General features: G+C 54.5%; 2 protein-coding genes across 6 annotated transcripts in view, besides 5 other annotated features; both read right to left on the bottom strand.

Moving 5' to 3' along the window:
• On the bottom strand, window positions 897–13,332 carry TOMM40 (translocase of outer mitochondrial membrane 40). Of its 5 annotated transcripts, none has more exons than NM_001128916.2 (10): window positions 13,272–13,332; window positions 12,897–13,179; window positions 12,126–12,193; window positions 11,657–11,749; window positions 10,705–10,806; window positions 10,520–10,625; window positions 3,734–3,856; window positions 3,482–3,558; window positions 3,276–3,378; window positions 897–1,556 (listed from the first exon to the last, which is right to left on the bottom strand). In NM_001128916.2, the coding sequence occupies exons 2-10, from the start codon at window positions 13,168–13,170 to the stop codon at window positions 1,417–1,419; spliced, it is 1,086 nt and encodes a 361-aa protein (NP_001122388.1). In that variant the 5' UTR covers window positions 13,171–13,179; window positions 13,272–13,332; the 3' UTR covers window positions 897–1,416. The 5 variants fall into 5 exon arrangements, with proteins under 5 accessions (NP_001122388.1, NP_006105.1, NP_001122389.1 ...); NM_006114.3 differs by having other exon boundaries at window positions 12,897–13,176; XM_005258411.5 differs by lacking the exon at window positions 897–1,556 and adding an exon at window positions 1,563–3,198.
• Window positions 12,996–13,635: a silencer, noted in NCBI's record as "silent region_10744". NCBI's record gives its function as "represses an Ori minimal core promoter by ATAC-STARR-seq in GM12878 lymphoblastoid cells {active_cell/tissue: GM12878}" and the evidence as "EXISTENCE:reporter gene assay evidence [ECO:0000049][PMID:35858748]".
• Window positions 13,946–14,105: an enhancer, noted in NCBI's record as "active region_14774". NCBI's record gives its function as "activates an Ori minimal core promoter by ATAC-STARR-seq in GM12878 lymphoblastoid cells {active_cell/tissue: GM12878}" and the evidence as "EXISTENCE:reporter gene assay evidence [ECO:0000049][PMID:35858748]".
• Window positions 14,275–14,776: an enhancer, noted in NCBI's record as "H3K27ac hESC enhancer chr19:45393067-45393568 (GRCh37/hg19 assembly coordinates)". NCBI's record gives its function as "activates a minimal SCP1, AML or CMV promoter by ChIP-STARR-seq in naive H9 embryonic stem cells {active_cell/tissue: H9 hESC(naive)}" and the evidence as "EXISTENCE:reporter gene assay evidence [ECO:0000049][PMID:30033119]".
• The window catches only part of NECTIN2 (nectin cell adhesion molecule 2), a 42,927-nt gene continuing 36,069 nt past the window's right edge, over window positions 15,363–22,220 (bottom strand). The window contains exons 7-9 of the mRNA NM_001042724.2: window positions 18,586–18,649; window positions 18,367–18,453; window positions 15,363–16,476 (exon numbers count right to left, since the gene is read on the bottom strand). Coding sequence (NP_001036189.1) covers window positions 16,207–16,476; window positions 18,367–18,453; window positions 18,586–18,649 — 421 coding nt within the window. The 3' untranslated portion in view covers window positions 15,363–16,206. The remainder of the gene's footprint in view (window positions 16,477–18,366; window positions 18,454–18,585; window positions 18,650–22,220) is intronic.
• Window positions 18,517–19,017: an enhancer, noted in NCBI's record as "H3K27ac hESC enhancer chr19:45388826-45389326 (GRCh37/hg19 assembly coordinates)". NCBI's record gives its function as "activates a minimal SCP1, AML or CMV promoter by ChIP-STARR-seq in naive H9 embryonic stem cells {active_cell/tissue: H9 hESC(naive)}" and the evidence as "EXISTENCE:reporter gene assay evidence [ECO:0000049][PMID:30033119]".
• Window positions 19,337–19,836: an enhancer, noted in NCBI's record as "H3K27ac hESC enhancer chr19:45388007-45388506 (GRCh37/hg19 assembly coordinates)". NCBI's record gives its function as "activates a minimal SCP1, AML or CMV promoter by ChIP-STARR-seq in naive H9 embryonic stem cells {active_cell/tissue: H9 hESC(naive)}" and the evidence as "EXISTENCE:reporter gene assay evidence [ECO:0000049][PMID:30033119]".

Here is a 22,220-nt window from a genome sequence, read left to right as displayed (position 1 = left end):
CCTGTTATAAATCCCAGATGTTTCAGAGGAGAAACCCGTGGTTCAGCAGCAAGACGAATGGCAAAACCACACAGTGAGAACTGGGAGAGACTGGGACTCATTCCTGGCTCCTGGAGCGGGTGGGATCAGAAGATTCTGCGGGTCAGGGGAGGCTGAACTCCTGGTTCGAGAAGGAACCCCCAGTGCCGGGCCGGGCCTGTTTGCTTTGGCTGGCAAGGGGTGGCTGAGGTGGGGTTGGTAACCTGGGGTTGGTTCTACTCAGCAGCCTCCTTCCCCAGACCCTGGGGGCAGACAGGGTTTCAGTTCCTGGAGGCTCGGGAGTCGTGGTGGGCATCAGCTGACCCCAGCCCTAGGTTGGCAAAATCCAGACAGCACCAAGTCCTCAGACACAGGTGACCCAACTCCCATGGCTGGCCTAGGCCCCTCCTCCCAGGCCTGCGAGTCCTTGAGCCCCTTCTCCCTGACACAGCAGTTCCTAGTACCCTAGTTGTTCTGAAGCTGTTCCAGTAGCTTGAACCCTCTCCCAGCTCCCTGCCCCCATCTCTGCACTCAGAGACAGTGTCATCTCTGCTGCTGCAGTCTGCAGGGACAAAGTCCTCTATAGCCACTCCGGCCAGGTCAAGCTGGGGGCAAGTGACCTTGAGACCCTACCCTCAGGCAAGGGAAGGCCCGTAGTGTCCCCCAGCAGGGCAGATGTTCCGGATGGGAAGATAGCGACCCCAGGCCACGCTGCGCCCCTCTGAGCCGGACTTAAGGCAGCATCAAGGATCCGCTGCTTTCCGTGCTCCGGCCCTCTGGCGCCCCCTGCAGGCGGCTGGGGGAAGGTCAGGGCGGCCAGACTCCGGATGAAATGCTCAAAACAGGCCAGACACACTTGAGAAAACGGAGGCCTCCCATCGTTTTTTTTCCCACGTATATTTTTTGTTGTTTTTTGTTTTTTTTCTGTAAAATGTCCCGGTTCTTCCATAACTTATAAACATGATTTATACCGAGGAGATGGGAAAGTGGACGGGGCAGGGTGGACTGACCGGGGATGGGGAAGCTCCTCTCGCTGCCCCCTCGGGGCGGGCCCAGGCCCTTTGGAGGATGGGGACGCCAGGACACTCCTCCCTGAGGTTGTCTGGCCGCCTCTGCCCCTGGTGCTCAGAATCCTGCGTGCCCCTCAATTCCGGAATCCCTCCCGGGACCCCAGGCCCACTGGGCATGCTGCCCCTGCTACTCAGAATCCCGAAGCGCCATTCAGTTCCAGAATCCCCTCCTCAGCTGCTGGGGTGGCGGGGTCCCTCCTTTCCAATGTCCCCCCCGACCCCCAAGGGGGGAGGGAAGGGAGGGGGGCTCAGGTCTCCCCTCTGTGGCAGGGGGAGGTGGAGGTGGAGGTGGAATCGGAAGGGCGTGGAAGGCGGGGGCCAGGAGGGCTCAGCCGATGGTGAGGCCAAAGCCACACTGAAACTTGTTCTTGCGGTGATTCAGGAAGGCCCCAAGGGCCAGTGTCAGGGGCAGGGGTGGGAGCTTCTTCTCCAGCGTGGCACCCACGATCCAGTTGCTATCCACAGAGCCTGCAGGGAAGAGCTGAGGTGAGAGGCGTGCCAGCTTCCCACCATATCCATGCAGAGTTCCTGGCCACCTTGGATACCAGCCACATGCCGACAGCTTCCAGACCTTTAACCACACTGCTCCTGCCACCCTGAAACCCCATCACACCAACAACTTCACGCTGGAGCAAATGGCTCACTCCTCCTCTGCTCTCCGCTCAGTGACCCCTGCCCTCTGAAAAGCCCTCTAGACCCCTGGGTTCCCCCAACCTAGTCCTGCCCACTCTGCGGATGAATCTGTTCCTCTCACTGAGTCCCGTGAAGACAGGGCTGGTCACCGCTGTGGCCCCAGCAGTGCTCAGCAGGAGGCTCAAACACCCAAAATCTGTGAGCCACAGATATCCAAGAAGACTTAAGACTGGACATTGGGACTACGACCAGTGTGCCTGAGATGAGGTTCTGGATTTAGTTGTGACCTTGAAACCTCTGGAAGCCTCAGTTTCCACTAACGTAAGATGAATGGGGCAGGCTCGAGGCTTCCAAAGTGCCTTCTACCCTGGCTGGGTGTGGTGGCTCACACCTATAATCCCAGCACTTTGGGAGGCCAAGGCTTGAGTCCAGGAGTTCGAGACCAGCCTGGGCAACATGGTGAAACCCCCATGTCTCCCAAAACTATCAAAAAAATTAGCTGGGCCTGGTGGCATACACCTGTGGTCCTAGCTACTCAGGAGGCTGAGGTGGGAAGGCTGCTTGAGCCCGGGAGGTGGAGGCTGCAGTGAGCCGCAGTTGCACTGCTGCACTCTAGCCTGGGCGACAGAGGGAGACCAGTCTCAGAAAAATAAGAGAGTCAAGTGCAGAAAAATAAGAGGGGATGGACAAAGCTCCAGCTTGGCCCAAACACCCATCAGATGCTCCACCAGATTTTTTTTAACATTTATTTATTTATTTCATTTTATTTTTTTTGGAGATGGAGTCTCACTCTGTCACCCAGGCTGGAGTGCAGTGGTGCAGTCTCAACTCCCTGCAACCTCCGCCTCCCAGGTTCAAGTGATTCTTGTGCCTCAGCCTCCTAAGTAGCGGGGACTACAGTTGCAGCACGCTACCACACCTGGCTAATTTTTGTACTTTTAGTAGAGAGGGGATTTCACCACGTTGGCCAGGCTGGTCTCCAACTCCTGGCCTCAAGTATTCTACCTGGCTTGGCCTCCCAAAATGCTGGGATTACAGGCGTGAGTCACCACGCCTGGCTGCTCTACCTACTTTTTTTTTCCAAGCATAAAACATAGTAGAGGGTTGTCCACCTACTTTTTTTTTTTTGAGATGGAGTCTTGCTCTGTCACCCAGGCTGGAGTGCGGTGGCACGATCTCGGCTCACCGCAAGCTCCGCCTCCTGGGTTCATACCATTTTCCCGCCTCAGCCTCAGTAGTTGGGACTATAGGCACCCGCAACCACACCCGGCTAATTTTGTTTTTGTATTTTTAGTAGAGACGGAGTTTCACCGTGTTAGCCAGGATGGTCTCAATCTCCTTACCTCGGCCCGCCTTGGCCTCCCAAAGTGCTGGGATTACAGGCGTGAGCCACCGCACCCGGCCCCACCTACCTTTTAACAAGTGTTCCCTGGTAATGTGGAGGCCCACAGGGTGGCAGCACACTGTCCTCCAGCACCTGTGGTGGCCCACACATCCACTCAGAGTTGAGTCACCTCCTGCCTGTTTCCCGCGTAGGGGAACCGAGACCTTTACCTTTGAAGAGGAGGTTGGCCTTGGGCAGGTCCAGCTGGTACCCGAAGGAGACGCTGGTGTCCTGCATCCTTGTGCTGGCCTCAAACTCCACACCCACCTGCAGCTGGAGGGGCCGGAGCAACACATGAGAATTAGCAAGTGGCCCCACCTGGACTTCCAGGCCCAGCAGCCCCTGGCAGCACCAGCTAGTCCCTGCACCCACTCACCTGGTCACTGGCTTTGTGGTAGTATGTTGCGTGCATGCCCGCCTGGCCCAACGTTACCGTTGCCAACCAGTTGTTCACTGTCAGAGAGTGGGGTGGAGGCGGGGTCTCATTACCAAGGGGATTTGGGCATCTGGGAACCCAGGCCTCCTCCCTCAGACCTGAGTGTCCAGGGCCCTAGCCCGTCCTCCCTCAGACCCAGGAGGAGTCCAGGGGCCCAGCCCCTCCACCCTCGGACCCAGGCGCCAGGCTCACATGTGTATTTCCCAGCTAGAGACATGACAGTGCCCTCCTCTCCAGGCCGCCGGTGGTAGACCAGCTCTCCACCCAGGGCCAGGCAAGGCGTGATGCTCTGGAGGTAGTGGGCTACGAGGATTCCTGTGGGCAAAATGACGATCAGTTTCCACCCACCCTGAGTGCCAGGCTAGACTCCACCTCCAGGAAGCCCTCTAGGCTCACCCCGGCTGGAGGCTTGGGCTTGCTCTCAGGCCTCCCTCAAGGGCTCCTTTCTCCTAACCCATCGCCCAGGGGTTCCCTACCGCTGAGGTCAGCGTCCCAGGCCCTGCTATGACTGCATTACCTGAAGGACCTCATCTGGTCGACACAAGCCCATGTGGTCAGCATTTATCCACCCCCACTTACAGAGGGGGTCACCACCACTTATAGAAGCTTACAGGGTAAGTCACTCACTCATGCTCACAAAATGTGTCAAGGGCAGAATCCAAGCCTCCACACCTCCCAAACCCAGGCTCTGAGCCACTCTGCTGCTGAGAGGCCATTGGGTAGAGTGGGTAAATATGCACAGCCTGGGTTCGAATCCCAGCCCTGCCACAGGCTGGCTGGTGACCATGGACGCTGGCATCATCTCTCTGTGAACCTAACTGCCTCTTGGGGTTGTGAGGAATCGAGTGCTCAGCTGTGGCTGGGACTTGCTGCACTGAGGTCCAAGTCTGCGTTCCTGTGTCCCTCCACCGTAGGGAGTGCTTGCTGAACAAGAGAACTGCCACCTTTGGGCTGCCTTTTCAAGCCTCAGGATGGAGATGGATTCACTTTGGTGTCTTTCGAGCCTAGCAGGGTACAGGCCACAAATGTGATTTTATAGGGCCAGAAGAATTGGGGAGGAAGAGAGTGGGAAATAGAGAGGGAGGGACAGGGAAAGAAAACAAGCCTGGCGTGGTGGCACGTGCCTGTAATCCCAGCTATTTGGGAGGCTGAGAAGGGAGGATTGCTTGAGCCTAGGCATTCGAAGCCAGCCCGGGCAACATGGTGAGACCCCATCTCAAAAAAAAAAAAAAAAAAAAAAAAAAAAAAAAAAAGCCAGATGCAATGGCTCATGCCAGTAATCCCAATGCTTTGGAGGGCTGGGGCAAGAGGACAGCTTGAGGTCAGCAGTTGGAGACAAGCCTAGGTGACATAGTGAGACCCCATCTCTACAAAAAATTTAAAAACTTCATCTAACTACAGATTATCATAAAAAAAAAAAAAAAAATCAAGGCCAGGCACAGTGGCTCATGCTTGTTGTAATCCCAGCAGTTTGGGAGGCCAAAGTGGGTTCATTTGAGCCCAGGAATTCGAAACCAGCTTGGGAAACATAGCGAATACAAAAATTAGTTGGGTGAGGTGGTGCACACCTGTAGTCCCAGGTACTAAGGGGGTGGACGTGGGAGGATTGCTTAAGCCCAGGAGGTGGAGGCTGCAGTGAGCCATGATAGTGCCACTGCACTCCAGCCTGAGTGACAGAGTGAGAATCTGTCCCAATAAGCAAACAAACAACAAATAAATAAATTTAAAAACGTAGCCAGGCATGATGGCACATGCTTATAGTCCCAGCTACTTGGGAGGCTGAGGCAGGAGGATCACTTGAGCTCAGAAGGTCAAGGTTACACTGAGCTATGATCACGCCACTGCACTCCAACGTGGGCAACAGAGATCCTGTTTCAAAAAATAAGAAATTTAATTTTTTTTTTTTTTTTTTGAGATGGAGTCTCGCTCTGTCGCCCAGGCTGGAGTGCAGTGGCACTATCTCGGCTCACTGCAAGCTCCACCTCCCGGGTTCACGCCATTCTCCTGCCTCAGCCTCTCCGAGTAGCTGGGACTACAGGAGCCCGCCACCATGCCTGGCTAATTTTTTGTATTTTTAGTAGAGAAGGGGTTTCACCGTGGTCTCGATCTCCTGACCTCGTGATCCGCCTGCCTCGGCCTCCCAAAGTGCTGGGATTACAAGCATGAGCCACCGCGCCCGGCCTAAAAAATTTTTAAAGAAAAAAAGAGGCTGGGCACGGTGGCTCACACCTGTAATTCCAGCACTTTGGGAGGCTGAGGTGGGTGGATCGTCTGAGGTCGGAGGTTCGAGACCAGCCTGGCCAACATGGTGAAACCCTGTCTCTACTAAAAATACAAACATTAGCTGAGTGTGGTGGTGCACACCTGTAGTCCCAGCTACTCAGGAGGCTGAGGCAGGAGAATCGCTTGAACCCGGGAGGCGGAAGTTGCAGTAAGCTGAGATTGTGATTGTGCCACTGCACTCCAGCCTGGGAGACAGTGCAAGACTTCATCTCAAAAAGACAAAAAAAAAAAAAAAAGAAAAAAAAAAAAAGAAACAACACATCTGCAGAGACAGAAATGAAGGGGGAAGAGGGACTGAAGATTCACAGTTGAGAAATCCACCACGATCGAGCAATCTCCTAGGGTGCAGCCCTGGAGAGGAAGACACGTGGAGAAGGGAAGGGAGGTTGGGGGCCACGAGACTGAGGGCACACAGAGAAGCTGAGACAGCACAGAGCAAAGCAGGTGCGAAGATGCTTCCCAGACCAAGATGACCAGAGGGGCAGACTAGGGGCCCCACAGTGGGAGCAGGCTGGCCTGCTAGCATGGAGCCAGCCTGGAGCCAGCTCTCTGGAGCTGCAGGAATAGGGGCCTTTCATACCTGCAGGCATGGCTGGGTGGAGCTCTCAGAGGGGCTGAGTGTTAGGCGGCAACCCCCAAGATGAGCCTGGTGGGTGTGAGAGAGGCCGTGAGTTCATGGCCAGTGCCCTGGTGGCATCTTCTGGGGAGGCTGAGATCAGAAGTAGGCTGCAGCTGGTCCCCATGGGCTCGGGCAAGCGACTGTGTGACTCTCCTTCCCAGAGGAGATGAAGCAAATGAATCCCCGAACCCCCCACTGGTTGTTGAATCACCATCACACGGGCGGGGCACAGTAGCTCACGCCTGTAATCCTGGCACTTTGGGAGGCTGAGGCAGGAGGGTTGTTTGAGCCCAGGAGTCTGAGACCAGCTGGGGCAACATGGCGAGACCCCCATCTCTCCCTCTCTCTCTCTTTTTTTTTTTTTTTGAGATGGGGCGTTTTGCTCTTGTTGCCCAGGCTGGAGTGCAAAGGCGTCATCTCGGCTCACTGCAACCTCTGCCTCCCGGGTTCAAGTGACTCTCCTGCCTCAGCCTCCCGAGTACCTGGGATTACACGCATGTGCCACGACGCAAAAATACAAAAATTAGCCGGGTGTGGCAGTGCGTGCCTGTAATCCCAGCTACTTGGGAGGCTGAGACAGGAGAATCACTTGAACCCAGAAGGTGGAGGTTGAGGTGAGCTGACACTGTGCCACTGCACTCTGGCCTGGGCAACAGAGACTGCGTCTCAGGGCAGAGGTATGTGAGGTGGGGCAGGGGAAGAAAAGAAAAAAAAAATCACTACCATTACCACTCTGGTCAGTGTTATCCCCTCATTCAATCAAGGGGGAGACTGAAGCCCAGAGGGAAAAGCAGCCATCTAGAGTGAGTGACTTAGAATCTCTGGCCTCTGAGTTCCAGGGACTGTTGGAACTGAGGCCATGAGACCCTCAAGTATCTTTCTAACCATCCTTCCCATCTCCTGGGCCACCCCCCCAGTTTCTCTACCCACAGCCTCCTCTCTAGTCTCATGCCCCAACTTCAAGTGACCTCACAGACAGCAGACAGAGGGATCATGTTAAAGCACAAACCTGACCCTGTTGACCCCCTGCCCAGAACCTGCCATGGCTCCCTCGTGCCCTGAGAAGATATGGGTTCCTCAGCACACCTGCAAGGCCTTGGATGGCTTGGCCTCAGCTTCAGAATAGAACCACTCCCCCTTCCCAGGCTCCCAAGTAGCTGGGACTATAGGCATGTGCCCTGCCAGCTCAGCGTCCCCAGTAGTTGGGACTACAGGCATGTACCACCATATGCCTAATTTCTAATTTTTTTTGTAGAGACAGGGTATTGCTATGTTGCCCAGGCTGATCTTGAACTCCCGATCTCAAGCGATCCGCCCACCTCAGCCTCCCAAAGTGCTGGGATTACAGGTGTGAGCCACTGTGCCTGACCTGGGACCCCCATGAGGGCAGGAATGGGCTGTCTCGGTCACTGCTGTGTCCCAGCCCAGGGCTGGGCACACATGAGGTGCTCAGAGTGAAGCAGAAAAGGAGCTGTCACCATTGGGAGGGGCTGGGGAGGCTCACGGGCTCCTGAATTAAGCTTCCATTCAAATCCCAGCTCCTCTGCTTCCTGGCTGTGTCACCCTGGGCAACTGATTTCACCCCTGGGCCTCGCTTTCCTTATCTGTGAAATGGGGGTGCCTGCGGGCATTGTCCCCATGGAGATGCCAGAGTGGAGCAAGTGGTGACTGTGCATGTGGCCCAGTGCTGAGGCCGAGAAGTCGGGCCCTCTCATGGACTCCTTCACTGGGAGGTAGTTGCTTCTATTGTGCCCAAGTGACAGATGAGGAGACTGAAGCCCAGAAGGGCTGGAACCACTTGCCGGAGGTCACAGAGCCGCCTGGAGGTAGAGACACCCTGGGTCAAGTCGGAGCTGTTGGTGGCAAGAGACTCGAGAGCTCAGCCCTGACCGGCACACGGCAGGCCCTGTTCTCACTGGTGTCTGGGGGAAGGAAGAGGCACTGGAAAGGACTAGAGACCAAAGCGTCACTGGTGGCCCTGGGCTCCAGGAGGCCAGTGCTGGGGAGCACGAAAGGACCAGGCGAGCGAGGCGGCACAGGGAACGGGGTTGCTGGCGCCGTGAAGAGCAGGGACACTGGAGTCCCACTGGCCATGTGCCCTTAGTGGAGAACCTCCTCTTGGCCTTGCAAGATGGGGACAATGGTGGACGACAGAGGGCGACATGCGCACGCAAGCCTTCCCAGTCATGTCAAGACCAGAGGGAAGAATTCCATGCAGCAGGGACAGAGTGTGCGTCGGTCCTGGGGTAGAACCAACTCGGTGGTTTCAGGAACCGTCAGAAAAGCTTGCATGGTCGGCCGGGCGCGGTGGCTCACACCTGTAATCCCAGCACTTTGGGAGGCCGGGGCGGGTGGATCACTTGAGGTAAGAAGTTCGAGATCAGCCTGGCCGACATGGCGAAAACCTGTCTCTACTAAAAATACAAAAATTAGCCAGGCATGGTGGCGCGCGCCTGTAGTCCCAGCTACTAGGGATACTAGGGAGCCTGAGGCAGGAGAATCGCTTGAACCAGGGAGGCAGAGGTTGCAGTGAGCCGAGATTGCACCACAGCACTCCAGCCTGGGCAACAGAGCAAGACTCCGTCTCAAAAACAAAAACAAACCAACAAAAAAGGCTCATGTGGTTCAACTGTAGTGTATGAGAAGATGGGGTGATGTCACCAGGTGAGTTGGGGACAGGAAATGTTTCTTCCTCATGGGGCCCCTACAGATCAGCCTCACCTAGGAGGCCTCTCTGCACCTGCTGCACCTCCAGCTTCCCTGTCTCCTGGGTTTTCTGCCATGGCCCTTCCCTTCCCTCACCCCTGTTCCTGCTTCTCCCTGCCTGGAATCTTCTTGCTCCTGTCCCCCAGCCGGGGTAGCCCCTTCTCCTCCTCTGGCAGCTCAAAAGTCAACACTTTTGAGTCTCCCTGGGCTCCTGCAGCGAGAAGTGGTGACTCTCCCTAGGCACTCCCAGGGGTCCAAGGCCAACCCTAGCTCCCCTCCCCGCCTGCACGAGTCATTCACTCAGGACTCAGCGCTCAAGAGCCTGCTCTCCACGACACAGTGGATGGCTGCACAAAGACACAAAGCTGGCAATCCGAAACTCCATCCTTCCAGTTCCAGCCAAAAACTACAGAGTCATCGCCTCCATCCGGTCTCAACAAATCCTGGCAGCTCTGCCTTCAAACAACATCCAGAATCCAACCTCCTCTCCCCGTCCACTCCCTCCCAGTGGTACCCCCTTTGGAGTCTGCTCTCTACGCCAGCTGCAGGGTCCTGTGAGAAGCTATGCCTTGGTTTCCGAAAGCCCCAGACTCACTCAGAGCGAAGGCCAAGGCTCTGCAAAGCCTTATGCAACCAGGGGACCATCCTCCCTCAAGTTCCTTTCACGAGTCCCGACTGCACTACTTGCAGGCTGAAAAGCTGTTTCCCTGGCCAGGCGAGGTGGCTCACGCCTGTCATCCCAGCACTTTGGAAGGTCAAGGTGGGAGGATTGCTTGAAGCCAGGAGTTCCAAGACCAGCCTGGCCAATACAGCAAGACCCCATCTTAAAACATTTTTTAATACAAAAGAAAATCTCAGTTAAAATTGCGCTGACTGGCTGGGCGTGGTGGCTCACACCTGTAATCCCAGCACTTTGGGAGGCTGAGGTGGGTGGATCCCTTGAGGTCAGGAGTTCAAGACCAGCCTGACCAATGTGGTGAAACCCTGTCTCTACTAAAAATACAAAAATTAGCCAGGCGTGGTAGCGCATGCCTGTAATCCCAGCTACTCGGGAGGCTGAGGCAGGAGAATTGCATGAACCCAGGAGATGGAGGTTGCAGTGAGCCAAGATCGTGCCACGGCACTCCAACCTGGGTGATAAAGCAAGACTCCATCTCAAAAAAAAAAAAAAAAAAGACTGCTCTGACTCACCCACTCATGGTCAGTGGGTGACCGTCTCACCCACTGTAGTATGTTGCCTGATGTTTCAAAATCACTCCTGCTGAGCCACTTCTCCAGTGGCAGAAAAGGAGGTTCACAAATGGGGTGGATTTGCTGGCAAAGCCAGAACTGCAGTTTTGTGACCACCCTCCAAGCCCTCCGCCTCTTACCTGAACCCACGAGGACGTCTGGGTTCCCCAGGGTGACGGCTGCTGTGAAGTCAGAGCCCCGATACTCCCCGTCCACCTGCCAGTTCACAAACTTCGACTGCTGGGTCTGTGGAGAGGAGGGGGTGTGAGGGCGGCTCCCTGCTCACGGTGGCCGAGGGGAGCAGCAGCCTCCGTGCCCCACTCACCTGGATGGCCATCTTGGACCTGAGACCGGGGCCCAGCTGGTGAATGACCTGAGCGTTGAGACTGCCACTGTTGTCCATGTCACCCACCAGTACAGGGAACGCCTGTGAGGCAGAGAGAACGGAAGGGGTCAGAGGTGGTGCACTGTGCAAGTATGTGAGATGGGCCGGGGTGAGAAGCCTAGGGTCAGAAAGCCTCGGATGGGGGTCCCCTCCTCCACGAAGTGCTCTCTGACCACCTAAGCTGAGTTAGGCTCCCCGACCTTTGGGTTCCCCCATGTCAGCCTTGCCCATCCTGGCTTGTTACTCTCTGGGAACAGTCTGTCCCCTGCCCCACGGGTGAGTCCCATGCTGTTTCAGTCATGTGTGCCAGCACAGGGCTGGGCACAGAATGTGTTGTGCAATGAAGGTTTGCAGAATAAACACATTTGCTGAAGGGAAATGACAGAAGCAGAGACCTCATTCAGTCCCCCCAACCCTGTCTGGGCCTCCAGTTTTGCCCTTCCTAATAACTAGCCCCCACATGGCCACCCCAGAGATGCCCCAGAGATTTCTACAGCGGGAACCTGTGGACCACGTCTTTCCCTTGACCAAACCATGCCATGACTCTCCACAACCCCCTAGAGAAAGTCCAAAGCCTAGTCTGGCATTCAAAGTTCTGCATGATCTACAGTCCAGCCCTTTCCACCCTGGGTCATCGCTGTCTGGTGACAGGGTGGCTGTGGCCACATCCCCAGCACTGCTCAGCATGGGGCCAGGCAGAGAGCAGGGGTTTGGCGGATGTTTGCTGGATGAAGGAATTATTTGTGTCCCAGTGCACCTCGGAGAGATGCAATCCCCATCTCCAGGCTCTCGGTAGCTGTGACCTTTTCCTGATGAGGCCGTCTTAGCTTGACATTTGGCTACAAATTTGTTATTAGAAGGATACAATGAATGGATGAAAAAGGAAGCTCACCTCTGTGGGACTCAGCTGCTTTGTCCCCACATATGTGACCCCGAAGTGGTAGTTGGACTCCCCGATTGTGCTGAGGGCTACTGTGTGGTTGACCTGGAAGGAAAGCGAGAGCTGTGACGATACTGGACAGATAGGCTTGCCCACTGAAGAGGGCAAGGACAAGGTCTCTGGGCTGGGCAGGGGATGAAGACTGGGAGGCACGGCCTGACTAAGAGACTCAGAGAAAGGAGGTGCTGCCGGTAGGCCCACAGACCTGTTCCTTCACTCCAGCCTAGCTGCTATGGGGAGACAGTACCTCTGGATTCTAGGTCCCCAAACTGAGTAGTCAGTCTGGCACTATATCTCCGAGTCTTTTCAAGTATCAGGGAGCCCAGCTCTTGAGGGAGGAGTAATTGGGCCGAGTGTGCAGATGCAGGGAGGGGGACGGCGGGGACGATCTCTGGTGGGTAAGGACACCAGGAAGGCTCACCTGAAAATGGTTACTCAACCCTTTGTTGACTGTGAGCTTGACACCCTCCATCTGAATGGGAAACAGCTCTGGAGAAGAGAAACGCTGTCACACTCCACTCCAACCCCACACCAACTCTCATCTCTTCCTTCCCTACCACCCCCAGCTCTCTCCAGAGACCCACAGCAGAACATCTCACAAAGGATTCCACCTGTAAAGAGGCAGTACAGCCTAGTTAGACAGGGCCAGGGCCTTTGCTTGCTCAAATCTCACTGCCACCAAGCTGAGCAACTTTAGGTCAAACTCATCATCTGAAAGATGGGACCCTCACCACACAGAATTGTCCCAAGGATCTAATGAGTTAACGTATAATGAACACCAGAACAGAACTCCATAAATCTCCACCACTACTACTACTCTAATTGCTCCAGGCTGGGATCCGGAGGCTTTGGGTCCCATACCCAAGGAACCTCGCTGACACCTTGCTGACACCGTGACCTTGGGCCTCAGTTGCCTTCCCGATCACAAGAGAAGTCTGGCTTGGCTGATCCCGGGGCTCCTCAGGTCCCTAAAGGCTTTTCTCTACTGCTATGACATTCCATCCCGTTTCCAGCATTTGATTCCATCATTCTAAGCCCCAAGTCCAACGTTCCACCATTCGATCCCAACATCACCTCCTAGTGCTGTTAAATAATTCCAATGGTGCGCGCCAAATCCCAGAGTCCCCAGTGTCCTCCCCCTTCCCCCGAGATCCAGGCCATCGCAGCCCAGCGGGGGCCCCTCGCCCCTCACCCTTGCACTTCCGGTGGCACTCCTCGAATGTGCCCGGGTTGGGCAGGCAGCCGCAGGCCCCATCCTCGGCGGCCCCTGAGGCGCTGGCGGTTGCAGCCCCGGGGGTCCGTTCCGAACTTCGACTCGTACTGGTGCCGGCGCCCAGGCTGCCTCCCAGCGGCGGCAGCGTGAAGCCCGGCGGCGAGGGCGGAGGTGGCGGCAGCCCCACGAGGGCCGGCGCAGGCGGCGGTGGCGGCCCTGCGGGCGGCGAGCTGGCAGCCAACACGTTCCCCATGGTCGCCTGCTAGGGGAGAGGTCAGAGGGCAGAGGTCAGGGCCCGCGCGCCCCCGACTCAGCCCCAGCAAATCCGCACCCGGCTCCGGCCCCGGTTCTCACTGGCGGCGGCGCCTGCTCCCGGCCTGGGCTCCGCTCCCACCCCGTGCGCCACGCGCAACCGAACCCGCTGCCGCCGCCGCCACCACCGTCGCCCCGCCCCACCTAGCCCATTGGTTTAGTGTGCCCTGAGGCCCGCCCACCAGCGTCAAGACTCGGTCTTCCCATTGGACTTGTGCATAAAGTCCCGCCCACTTTCCCTGAAATGTCCTTTTGTATTGGTTCTCACTCGCAGGGTAGCCACGGCGCCCCTCCCACCCTTCCCATTGGCTCGCAGCGCCTGCGCCTATTGGCTCGCGTCGCCGCGGGTTCCGGTGCTAACCCGCCATTGGTCTGTGCTGAGCATTTTGCCACGCCCGCTGAGGCATCGCCCCGCCTCTCTCCTGGAGGAGGCCCTCTTTTGATTCCGCCCCGCGGCGAGGTTGCTGTGATAATTGGTCGGCTTTGACCCTTGCAGCATTTTGATTGGCTCCAGCGTGTACGGGGTCGACCTTGGTGGCGTATCAGCTTGGTACTCTCATTGGCTAACGTTCCAGGGTCGAAGGACAGGTAAAGGTGGGTTGCGCGGCAGAGGCGGCTAGGCAGCAAGGTCAGGCCTCGCGTCCCACCAGGCACCGCGGCAGCCGGGCCCCCACCCCACCTCTGGTTCGGAGTAGCCGACCTAAAACCGGAAGTGCTGGCCCTTCCCAGAGTGCCTCGGGAGAATTCTAATCTGTTCTGCGAACCCTGCGCTGCTCCTCGTTACCCACAATGCCCTCATCACCTCTTAGCGAAACAGTTGCCTTAGACCCACCCCTTTCGTTACCCATCATGCCTCTTGTTCCTCGCGTCACTGCGGCTTCTATCTTTGGCCCATTCATTCCTCTCCCATTACCCATCATGCCTCTGCCCCATTCATTTGAGCTTCATTGCCCAGACTACTTTTAGCTCCAGCCTGCCTGCTCACTTTCGTCGTTCTTCCGGCCCTTCTCTAATTAGCCATCATGTTTTGGATCCATGAACTCCTGTCCGTTACCTCCCTTGCCCCCGGTCCCTATTTTTCCATTATTCATCACTCTGCCTCTGGCCCATTCATTCAGGTTTATTATCCGTCATGCCTTGGGCTCCTATTACAACATTATTCATGATTTTGCCTTTAGTCTACTTTTACTTGCCGTTTATTCATTAAACTTGAGCCTCTTATACTTTCGTTACTGCTTTTTTAATTTTTATTTTTTTAAAGACAAGGTTGGACTCTGTCACTCAGGCTGGAGTGCAGTGGCGCCATCATAGCTTACTGCAGCCTTGAACTTCTGGCCTCAATCGATCCTCCTACCTCAGCCTCCAGAGTAGCTGAACTACAGGTGCGTGCCACCACGCCCGGCTAACTTTCGTAGAGGCGGGGTCTCACTGTGTTTCCCAGGCTGGTCTCTTAACTCCTGGACTCAGTCGAGCTTCCCGCCTCAGTTTCCCGAAGTGCTGGAATTACAGGAATGAGCCACTGCATCTGGCCAATTGCTATTTTTATCTTTGTCCCATTCATCATACTGCTGTTGCAATTATGAATGTTCATTAAACAGCATGCCCTGGACCCCTCCCCATTCCATTACTCAACATTCTGTTTTTAGGGCTGGGCGCAGTGGCTCACGCCTGTAATCCCAGCACTTTGGGAGGCCGAGACGGGTGGATCACGAGGTCAGGAGATCGAGACCATCTTGGCTAACGCGGTGAAACCCCGTCTCTACTAAAAATACAAAAAATAAGCCGGGCGTGGTGGTGGGCGCCTGTAGTCCCAGCTACTCGGGAGGCTGAGGCAGAGGAATGGCGTTAACTCAGAAGGTGGAGCTTGCAGTGAGCCGAGATCATGCCACTGCACTCCAGCCTGGGCGACAGAGCGAGACTCCGCCTCAAAAAAAAAAAAAATTTTGTTTTTGATTGATACATTTTTGCTCATTACTCTCTCAATTCTTATTTTGTATCTTTGGTCCCTTTGTTTTTGTCTTTAACTCTCTTGACCCCAGTTCACTGATTCTCTCAAGCCCTTAGACTCCTTCCTCATTCCCCTTCATGTCTCACCCCATCCCCTTCACATCCCACAGAAAAGGCAAGACCTGGTCAAAGTATAAATTCATATTTTGTAGGAAATGTAGTTTACAAAACAGTATCAATTGCTACCCCCAATTCAGATGACCCACTTTCCCCGGAAGGGGGATGTTTAGGTCCTATTCCACTGGGCAAGGGTAAAATGATTCAGTAGTCTTCCAGGTTAACAGTAAATTCTTCTCCCAAGGCTGGGGCCATCAAGGCACAGTCTGTATGAGGCTCACCCTGTCTGACCCTAGGCTGGGGCTGCTTGCTTGGTAGGCAGGAATTGGGGTGGGGGTGGGGGCTCAGGGAAGGGTCTGGACCCTGAGACTTCTGCTTACAGGAGGGTGCTGGGAAAACCCTGCCTTGGGCTGGGGAATCCCCTCTTTCCCACCTTTGGGGAACAGGGTGGGGAGGGGGTAAGTGGGACCCTGCTGCCTGGAGGGCTCAGGTCTGAGCAGCAGGGAGCCCTCAGCGCCCACTCCAGCAGACCTATTGGGAATTTACTACCTGAAGACAAATTATAGGTCTAGGGTCTTCTTTGTGATTTTGGGGGAGTCGAGGCATTGGGGGGTGAGAGGTATGGTCTAAGGTCACAGTCTGGGAGAGGAGTCCTTGGGATCAGAGGTTGTGCAGAAGCACCTTCCCCACCTCCTGCCTCATGAGATAAGGTTGCCAGGATTCCATTATCACGGTGAATTTCTCTGGGCTCATGGGTTAGGGGTCATAGTGGAGCCACCAAGGTAGACATCACAAATGGAATGCATATGTGTTAACTGACAGTGGCCTGGCCAGAGGTCAGGGGGCACTAGATCCTTGGCAAGAAAGCTAAGGGATCAACAGGTGAGATGTGAGACGCCAGGCGCATGGCAGCTCACACATACATGGCCCGGGACATGACAAAGCCTTTGCCCTGGTAGGAATCAGAGGGGCTGCTATAGGACAGAGCATCATAGATGGGGTTGATCTTGTCCAGATACTCTTCCTCCTCCTCCCCCTCCTCATCCTCTAGATCCAGGGAAACGTCTTCCACAGCAGGTGGCCCTGGAGGCACCGGGATGGGGGACCCCAGGCTTGTGGCTCCAGGGTGCAAGGGTCCTGACCGTTCTTCCAAGGTGGGCAGCTCATGGTATCGAGGCATTTCCTGGAGGTAGAGAGAGGACAGGAACTCAAGATCACTTCCTACGCACGACACAGATTACCAATCTGCTCTTGACCCCAAAATCCTGACCGCTCTCTCCCCATGCCAACAAGATGCCACCTCACTCCTTGTCCCCTGAGGCCATATTGCACTGGGACATTCATTCAGCCCTTCCTTAACCCAAAGCCCAGCTCGTGCAACTCACCCTGTTAATCCTGGGACTCACTTTTGACACTCGATCTCTGCAAATCTTTCCCCATGAACCTTTCACCTCAGTCTTGACCTCAAATACTTAACCTTGGGCTCTAAACAGTCCTTTGAACCTTGAGCGCAACCTCAGTGTCTGACCCCTGACCTCCAGTAGACCACTGAGGGGAGTGACTTGATTTGTCTTGTCCCAGCTTCAGGCACAGTATCCAGCAAATGTAGATAATCAATTTTCTTTCATTCTGTTTTTTTTTGTTGTTGAGACGGAGTTTTGCTCTTGTCTCCCAGGCTGTTGTGCAATGGTGCAATCTGGGCTCACTGCAACCTCTGCCTCCCGGGTCCAAGCGATTCTCCTGCCTCAGCCTCCCAAGTAGCTGGGATTACAGGCGCCCGCCACCACGCCCAGCTAATTTTTGTAATTTTTAGTAGAGACAGGGTTTCACCATGTTGGCCAGGCTGGTCTTGGAACTCCTGACCTCAGGTGATCCACCTGCCTTGGCCTCCCAAAGTGCTGGGATTACAGGCGTGAGCAACCGCACCCGGCCTTTTTCTTTTTTGAGACGGAGTCTTGCTCTGTTGCCTAGGCTGGAGTGCAGTGGCGTGGTCTCAGCTCATTGCAACTTCTGCCTCCTGGGTCCAAGCGATTCTCCTGCTTCAGCCTCCTGAATAGCTGGGATTACAGGAGCATGTCACCCATGCCTGGCTTATTTTTGTTTTTAGTAGAGAAGGGGTTTCACCTTGTTAGCCAGGGTGGTCTGGAACTCCTGACGTCAGGTGATCTGCCCGTCTCAGCCTCCCAAAGTGCTGGGATTACAGGTGTGAGCCACCATGCCTGACCAGATAATCAATTTTCATTGACCTAATGACTTTTCCTCTTTTTTTTTTTTTTTGAGATAGGGTCTCACCCTGATGCCCAGGCTGGAGTGTAGTGGCACAGCCCCAACCACCTGGGCTTAAGCAATCCGCCCACCTCAGCCTACAGGCATTTGCCACCACATCCAGGTAAATTCAGTATTTTTGTAGACGCAAAATGTTGCTGGGTAGCCCATGTTGCCCACGCTGGTCTCGAGCTCCTAGGCTCAAGGGGTCCAGCTACCTTGGCCTCCCAAAGTACTGGGATTATAGACCAGAGCCACCATGCCCGGCCCAGGTGATTTTATTTATTTGGTTTTATTTATTTTTTTGAGACGGAATCTTGCTCTGTTGCCCAGGCTGGAGTGCAGTGGTGTGATCTTAGCTCACTGTAACCTCGGCCTCCTGGGTTCAGGCGATTCTTCCTCCTCAGCGCCCCGGGTAGCTAAGATTACAGGCTCGCACCACCACACCCAACTAATTTTTTGTGTTTTGAGTAGAGACGGGGTTTCACCATGTTGCACAGGCTGGTCTCGAACTCCTGACCCCAAGTGATCCTCCTGCCTTGGCCTCCCAAAGTGCTGGGATTATAGGCGTGAGCCACCGTGCCCAGCCCCCAAGTGACTTTAAATTCTAACCTTGTGACCTTGGGCCTTTTCACCCCTGACCTCCCCCATGGAATCCTGAACACATCTCAATGCATTAAGCACCAACCGGGGACACACCCTTGACCTTGAGTTATGACCTTTAGTCTTTGACCTCTTTTGCCAGGCCTGACCCCTGGCCCTTCAACCCAGACCCCCAACCCACCTTTGTCTTCCCATGAGCTCCTACCTGCTCAGTGCATGAGGCGCCAGCATCAAAGTAGGGGGTCTTGAGTGGGCTGTGCTCCGAGGCCCCCAGAGTGAAGAGCTGGGAGGGCTGTAGTGGGAGAGGGGCGGGGAGGTCAGGAACTGCCCCCACCACCCAGCCAGCTTCTCCCTGCCAGGCCCCTCCCAGCCCTGGGGTGGGTGTGGAGGTGGGGATAGCTTGGGCTCCAGGGAAAGTGCTCACCATCTCCTGTGCCTCCAGCTTCGCTTTTGGGGTCGGTGGCTTGTAGGAGGGAGGTCCCTCCAGGCTGTGGGGTAGGAGGTAGGACAAGTGGAGATTAAGACCCAGGCATCCCTCTGACTCCGGGGTTATGGCACATGCTGTTCCCTCTACCTGGGTCTCCCTTTCCCCTGCCCCCTTTTCTTGCCTGGAGTAAGAGTTTTTATTCATTCCATGAATTCCTCTTTTTCCCGGAAGCCTTCAGGTTTCCCCAGTGGATCAGGAATTCCTGTTACACGGACATACCTAGCTGTACTTCCCCCTCAGGGCACTTACTGAATTTGTACTTGAAATGTTATTTATAATTACCATGCCCCACTGTGAGCTCTGGGAGGGAAAAAAGATCTGTGTTGGGCTGGGGGCAGTGGCTCACGCCTGTAATCCCAGCACTTTGGGAGGCTGAGGCGGGCGGATCATCTGAGGTCAGCAGTTCGAGACCAGCCTGGCCAACATGGTGAAATGCCATCTCCCCAAAAAATACAAAAATTAGCTGGGCATGATGGTGCACGCCTGTAATCCCAGCTACTCAGGAGGCTGAGGCACAAGAATCGCTTGAACTCGGGAGGCAGAGGTTGCAGTGAGATGAGATCACTCCACTCCAGCCTGTGCAATAGAGTGAGATGCCATCTCAAATTAAAAAAAAAAAAAAAAAAAAAAGAAAGAAAGATCAGCCAGGCGTGGTGGCTCACGCCTGTAATCCCAGCACTTTGGGAGGCCGAGGTGGGCAGATCACCTGAGGTCAGGAGTGTGAGACCAGCCTGACCAACATGGAGAAACCCTGTCCCTACTAAAAATACAAAATTAGCCGGGCGTGGTGGCGCATGCCTGTAATCCCAGCTACTCAGGAGGCTGAGGCAGGAGAATTGCTTGAACCCGGGAGGTGGAGGTTGTGGTGAGCCGAGATCGCGCCATTGCACTCCAGCCTGGGAAAAAAGAGCGAAACTCCACCTCAAAAAGAAAAAAAAAGAAAAGAAAAGAAAAGAAAAAAAAGAAAGATCTGGGTCGTCAGCAAGGTGTCTCCAGAATCCACTATGAGGAGTTCAGTAAATATTTGTGAAAAGAATGAATGAATAAATGAAGTGCCTTCCTGTCCCTCAAATTAGGTTAAAGTTCCTGTCCCTCATTCTACACACCCACAGACCAAAGCATACAGTAATGACAGGTGCTTACGATGCATTCTGTCAGCTCAGATGTCCCCTCTTCCAGGAAGCCCTACCTGACCATCCAGCCTGGGTCAGATGCCCCCTCTGGCTTCTCAGAGCTTGCTCAACTGCCCTATCCCATCACTGGTCATGCTACACCATCACTATCTGGAGACAGTTTTGTCTCCTCCTCCATATTGTGAGCTCCAGGCCGTCTCGGACACAGTGGGTCACAGCATGGAGCTGCACACAGAGGAGATCAGCAGCAAGTTATTGGTTTGAACTAACTAGATGATTAAGACAGTGGTGTAACAGACCTTCCTGTGCATCAGAAAAACTTAGAGAGCTTGTGGTAAATACAGATTCCAGGCTGGGCATGGTGGCTCACGCCTGTAATCCGAGCACTTTGGGAGGCTGAGGTGGGTGGATCACCTGAGGTCAGGAGTTCAAGACCAGCCTGGGCAACATGGCAAAACCCTGTCTCTACAAAAATACAAAAACTAGCTAGGTGTGGTGGTACGTGGTCCCATTTACTTGGGAGGCTGCGGTAGGAAGATTGGTTGAGCTCAGGAGGCGAAGGTTGCAGTGAGCTCAGATTATACCACTGAACTCTAGCCTGAGGGACAGAGTGAGATCCTGTCTCAAAAAAACAAATTTTGCATAGCTCGCATACCTCAGACTGCTCTGAGCTATTTTTCTTTTCTTTTTTTTTTTTTACAAGGTCTCACTCTGTTGGCCAGACTGGAGTACAGTGGTGTGATCATAGCTCACTGCAGCCTCCACATGCCCCCACCCCCACCTCAGCCCACCCAAGTAGCTGGGACTACAGGCATGGGCTACCAGGTCTGGGTAATTTTTGTATTTTTTTTGTAGACAGGTTTCGCCATGTTGCCCAGGCTGGTCTCGAACTCCTGAGCTCAAGTTATCTACTTGGGTTGGCTTCCCAAAGTGCTGGGATTACAGGTGTGAGGCACCGTGCCCAGTCTTTTATTTTTTAAGATACAGGGTCTTGCTCTGTCACCTGGGCTAGAGTGCAGTGGCATGATCATAGCTCATTGCAGACTTGAGCTCCTGGGCTCAAGTGACCTCCCACCCCAGCCTCCTGAGGAGCTGGACCACAGGTGTGCACCACTTTGCCTGGCTAATTTTGTTTGTTTTATTTTTTTAGAGATGGTGTCTCACTTTGATGTTCAGTCTGGTCTCGAACCACTAGCAACAAGAGCCTTGGCCTTCCAAAGTGCTGGCATTGGCTGGGCGCAGTGGCTCATGCTTGTGATCTTAGCACTTTGGGAGGCCGAGGCGGGTGGATCACTTGAGGTCAGGAGTTCAAGAGTAGCCTGGCCAACATGGTGAAACTCCGTCTCTACTAAAAATACAAAAATTAGCCGGGCGTGGTGGCGCGCATCTGTAATCCCAGCTACTCGAGAGGCTGAGGCTGGAGAATCGCTTGAACCAGGGAGGCGGAGGTTGCAGTGAGCCGAGATGGCGCCTTGGCACTCCAGCCAGGGCGACAGACCAAGACTCCATCTTAAACAAAAACAAAAACAAAACAAAGTGCTGGGATTAGAGGCAGGAGCCACCCTGCCTGACCCACCCTGCCTGACCAGTGTTACTCTTTATCTTCAGGTTTCTGGAATTTGTGATACAAAGAGCAATGGATAGCCAATCAATAGCTTACGTTATTTTAATGTAAATTCTCCATAACAATTTAGGAACCGCCCTTTCTTCTTTTATTAACAACTGGCCAGCCATGGTGGCTCACGCCTGTAATCCCAGCACTTTTGGAGTCTGAGGAGGGGGGATCCCAAGGTCAGGAGATAGAGACCATCCTGGCTAACACAGTGAAACCCTGTCTCTACTAAAAATCCAAAAAATTAGCTGGGCATGGTGGTGGGCGCCTGTATTCCCAGCTACTCCGGAGGCTGAGGCAGGAGAATTGCTTTAACCTGGGAGGCAGAGCTTGCAGTGAGCCGAGATTGCATCACTGTATTCCAGCCTCGGTGACAGAGTGAGACTCCGTCACAAAAAAAAAAAAAAAATGTAGTAGGATCCTGGGCTCCGAGGAGTCTTTGCAGAGCGGAGCGGTCAGAGCCACCCTGCGTGGCCATTTTTTTTTTTTTTTTTTTTTTTTTGTAGATGGGGGTAGTCTTCCTATGTTACCCAGACTGGGCTCAAATTCCTGGGCTCAAACGATCGATCTCCCCACCTCAGCCTCCAAAAGTGCTGGGATGGCAGGTGTAAGCCACTGTGCCTGGCCCCCAGCTAATTTTTAAATTCAATGCCATACTTTATAGCAGAGAGAAACCCATACCTCCCTACTCCATTTAGACCCCAGTTCCTTTAGGTCTGTCTGTTTCACACAGCCATTATGGAGAATTTTCTCCCACCCTCACCCCTACCCCATACTCCTCAGTTCTTCGACCCCTCTCCCATCCCCGTCTCAGGGCCCATCACTTA

The sequence above is a fragment of the Homo sapiens genome, chromosome 19 (genome assembly GCF_000001405.40).
Source record: "Homo sapiens chromosome 19, GRCh38.p14 Primary Assembly".
NCBI lineage: Eukaryota > Metazoa > Chordata > Mammalia > Primates > Hominidae > Homo > Homo sapiens.
This window is presented reverse-complemented; position numbering and strand designations above follow the sequence as displayed.

Coding starts and splice junctions, on each gene's coding strand:
- TOMM40 (NM_001128917.2), bottom strand. CDS start 13,170: ATGGGGAACGTGTTGGCTGCCAGCTCGCCGCCCGCAGGGCCGCCACCG. Junction 10,807..11,656: donor AGCAGCTGAGTCCCACAGAG/GTGAGCTTCCTT, acceptor TCTGCCTCACAG/GCGTTCCCTGTACTGGTGGG. Junction 1,557..3,275: donor GGCCAACCTCCTCTTCAAAG/GTAAAGGTCTCG, acceptor TCTTCCCTGCAG/GCTCTGTGGATAGCAACTGG.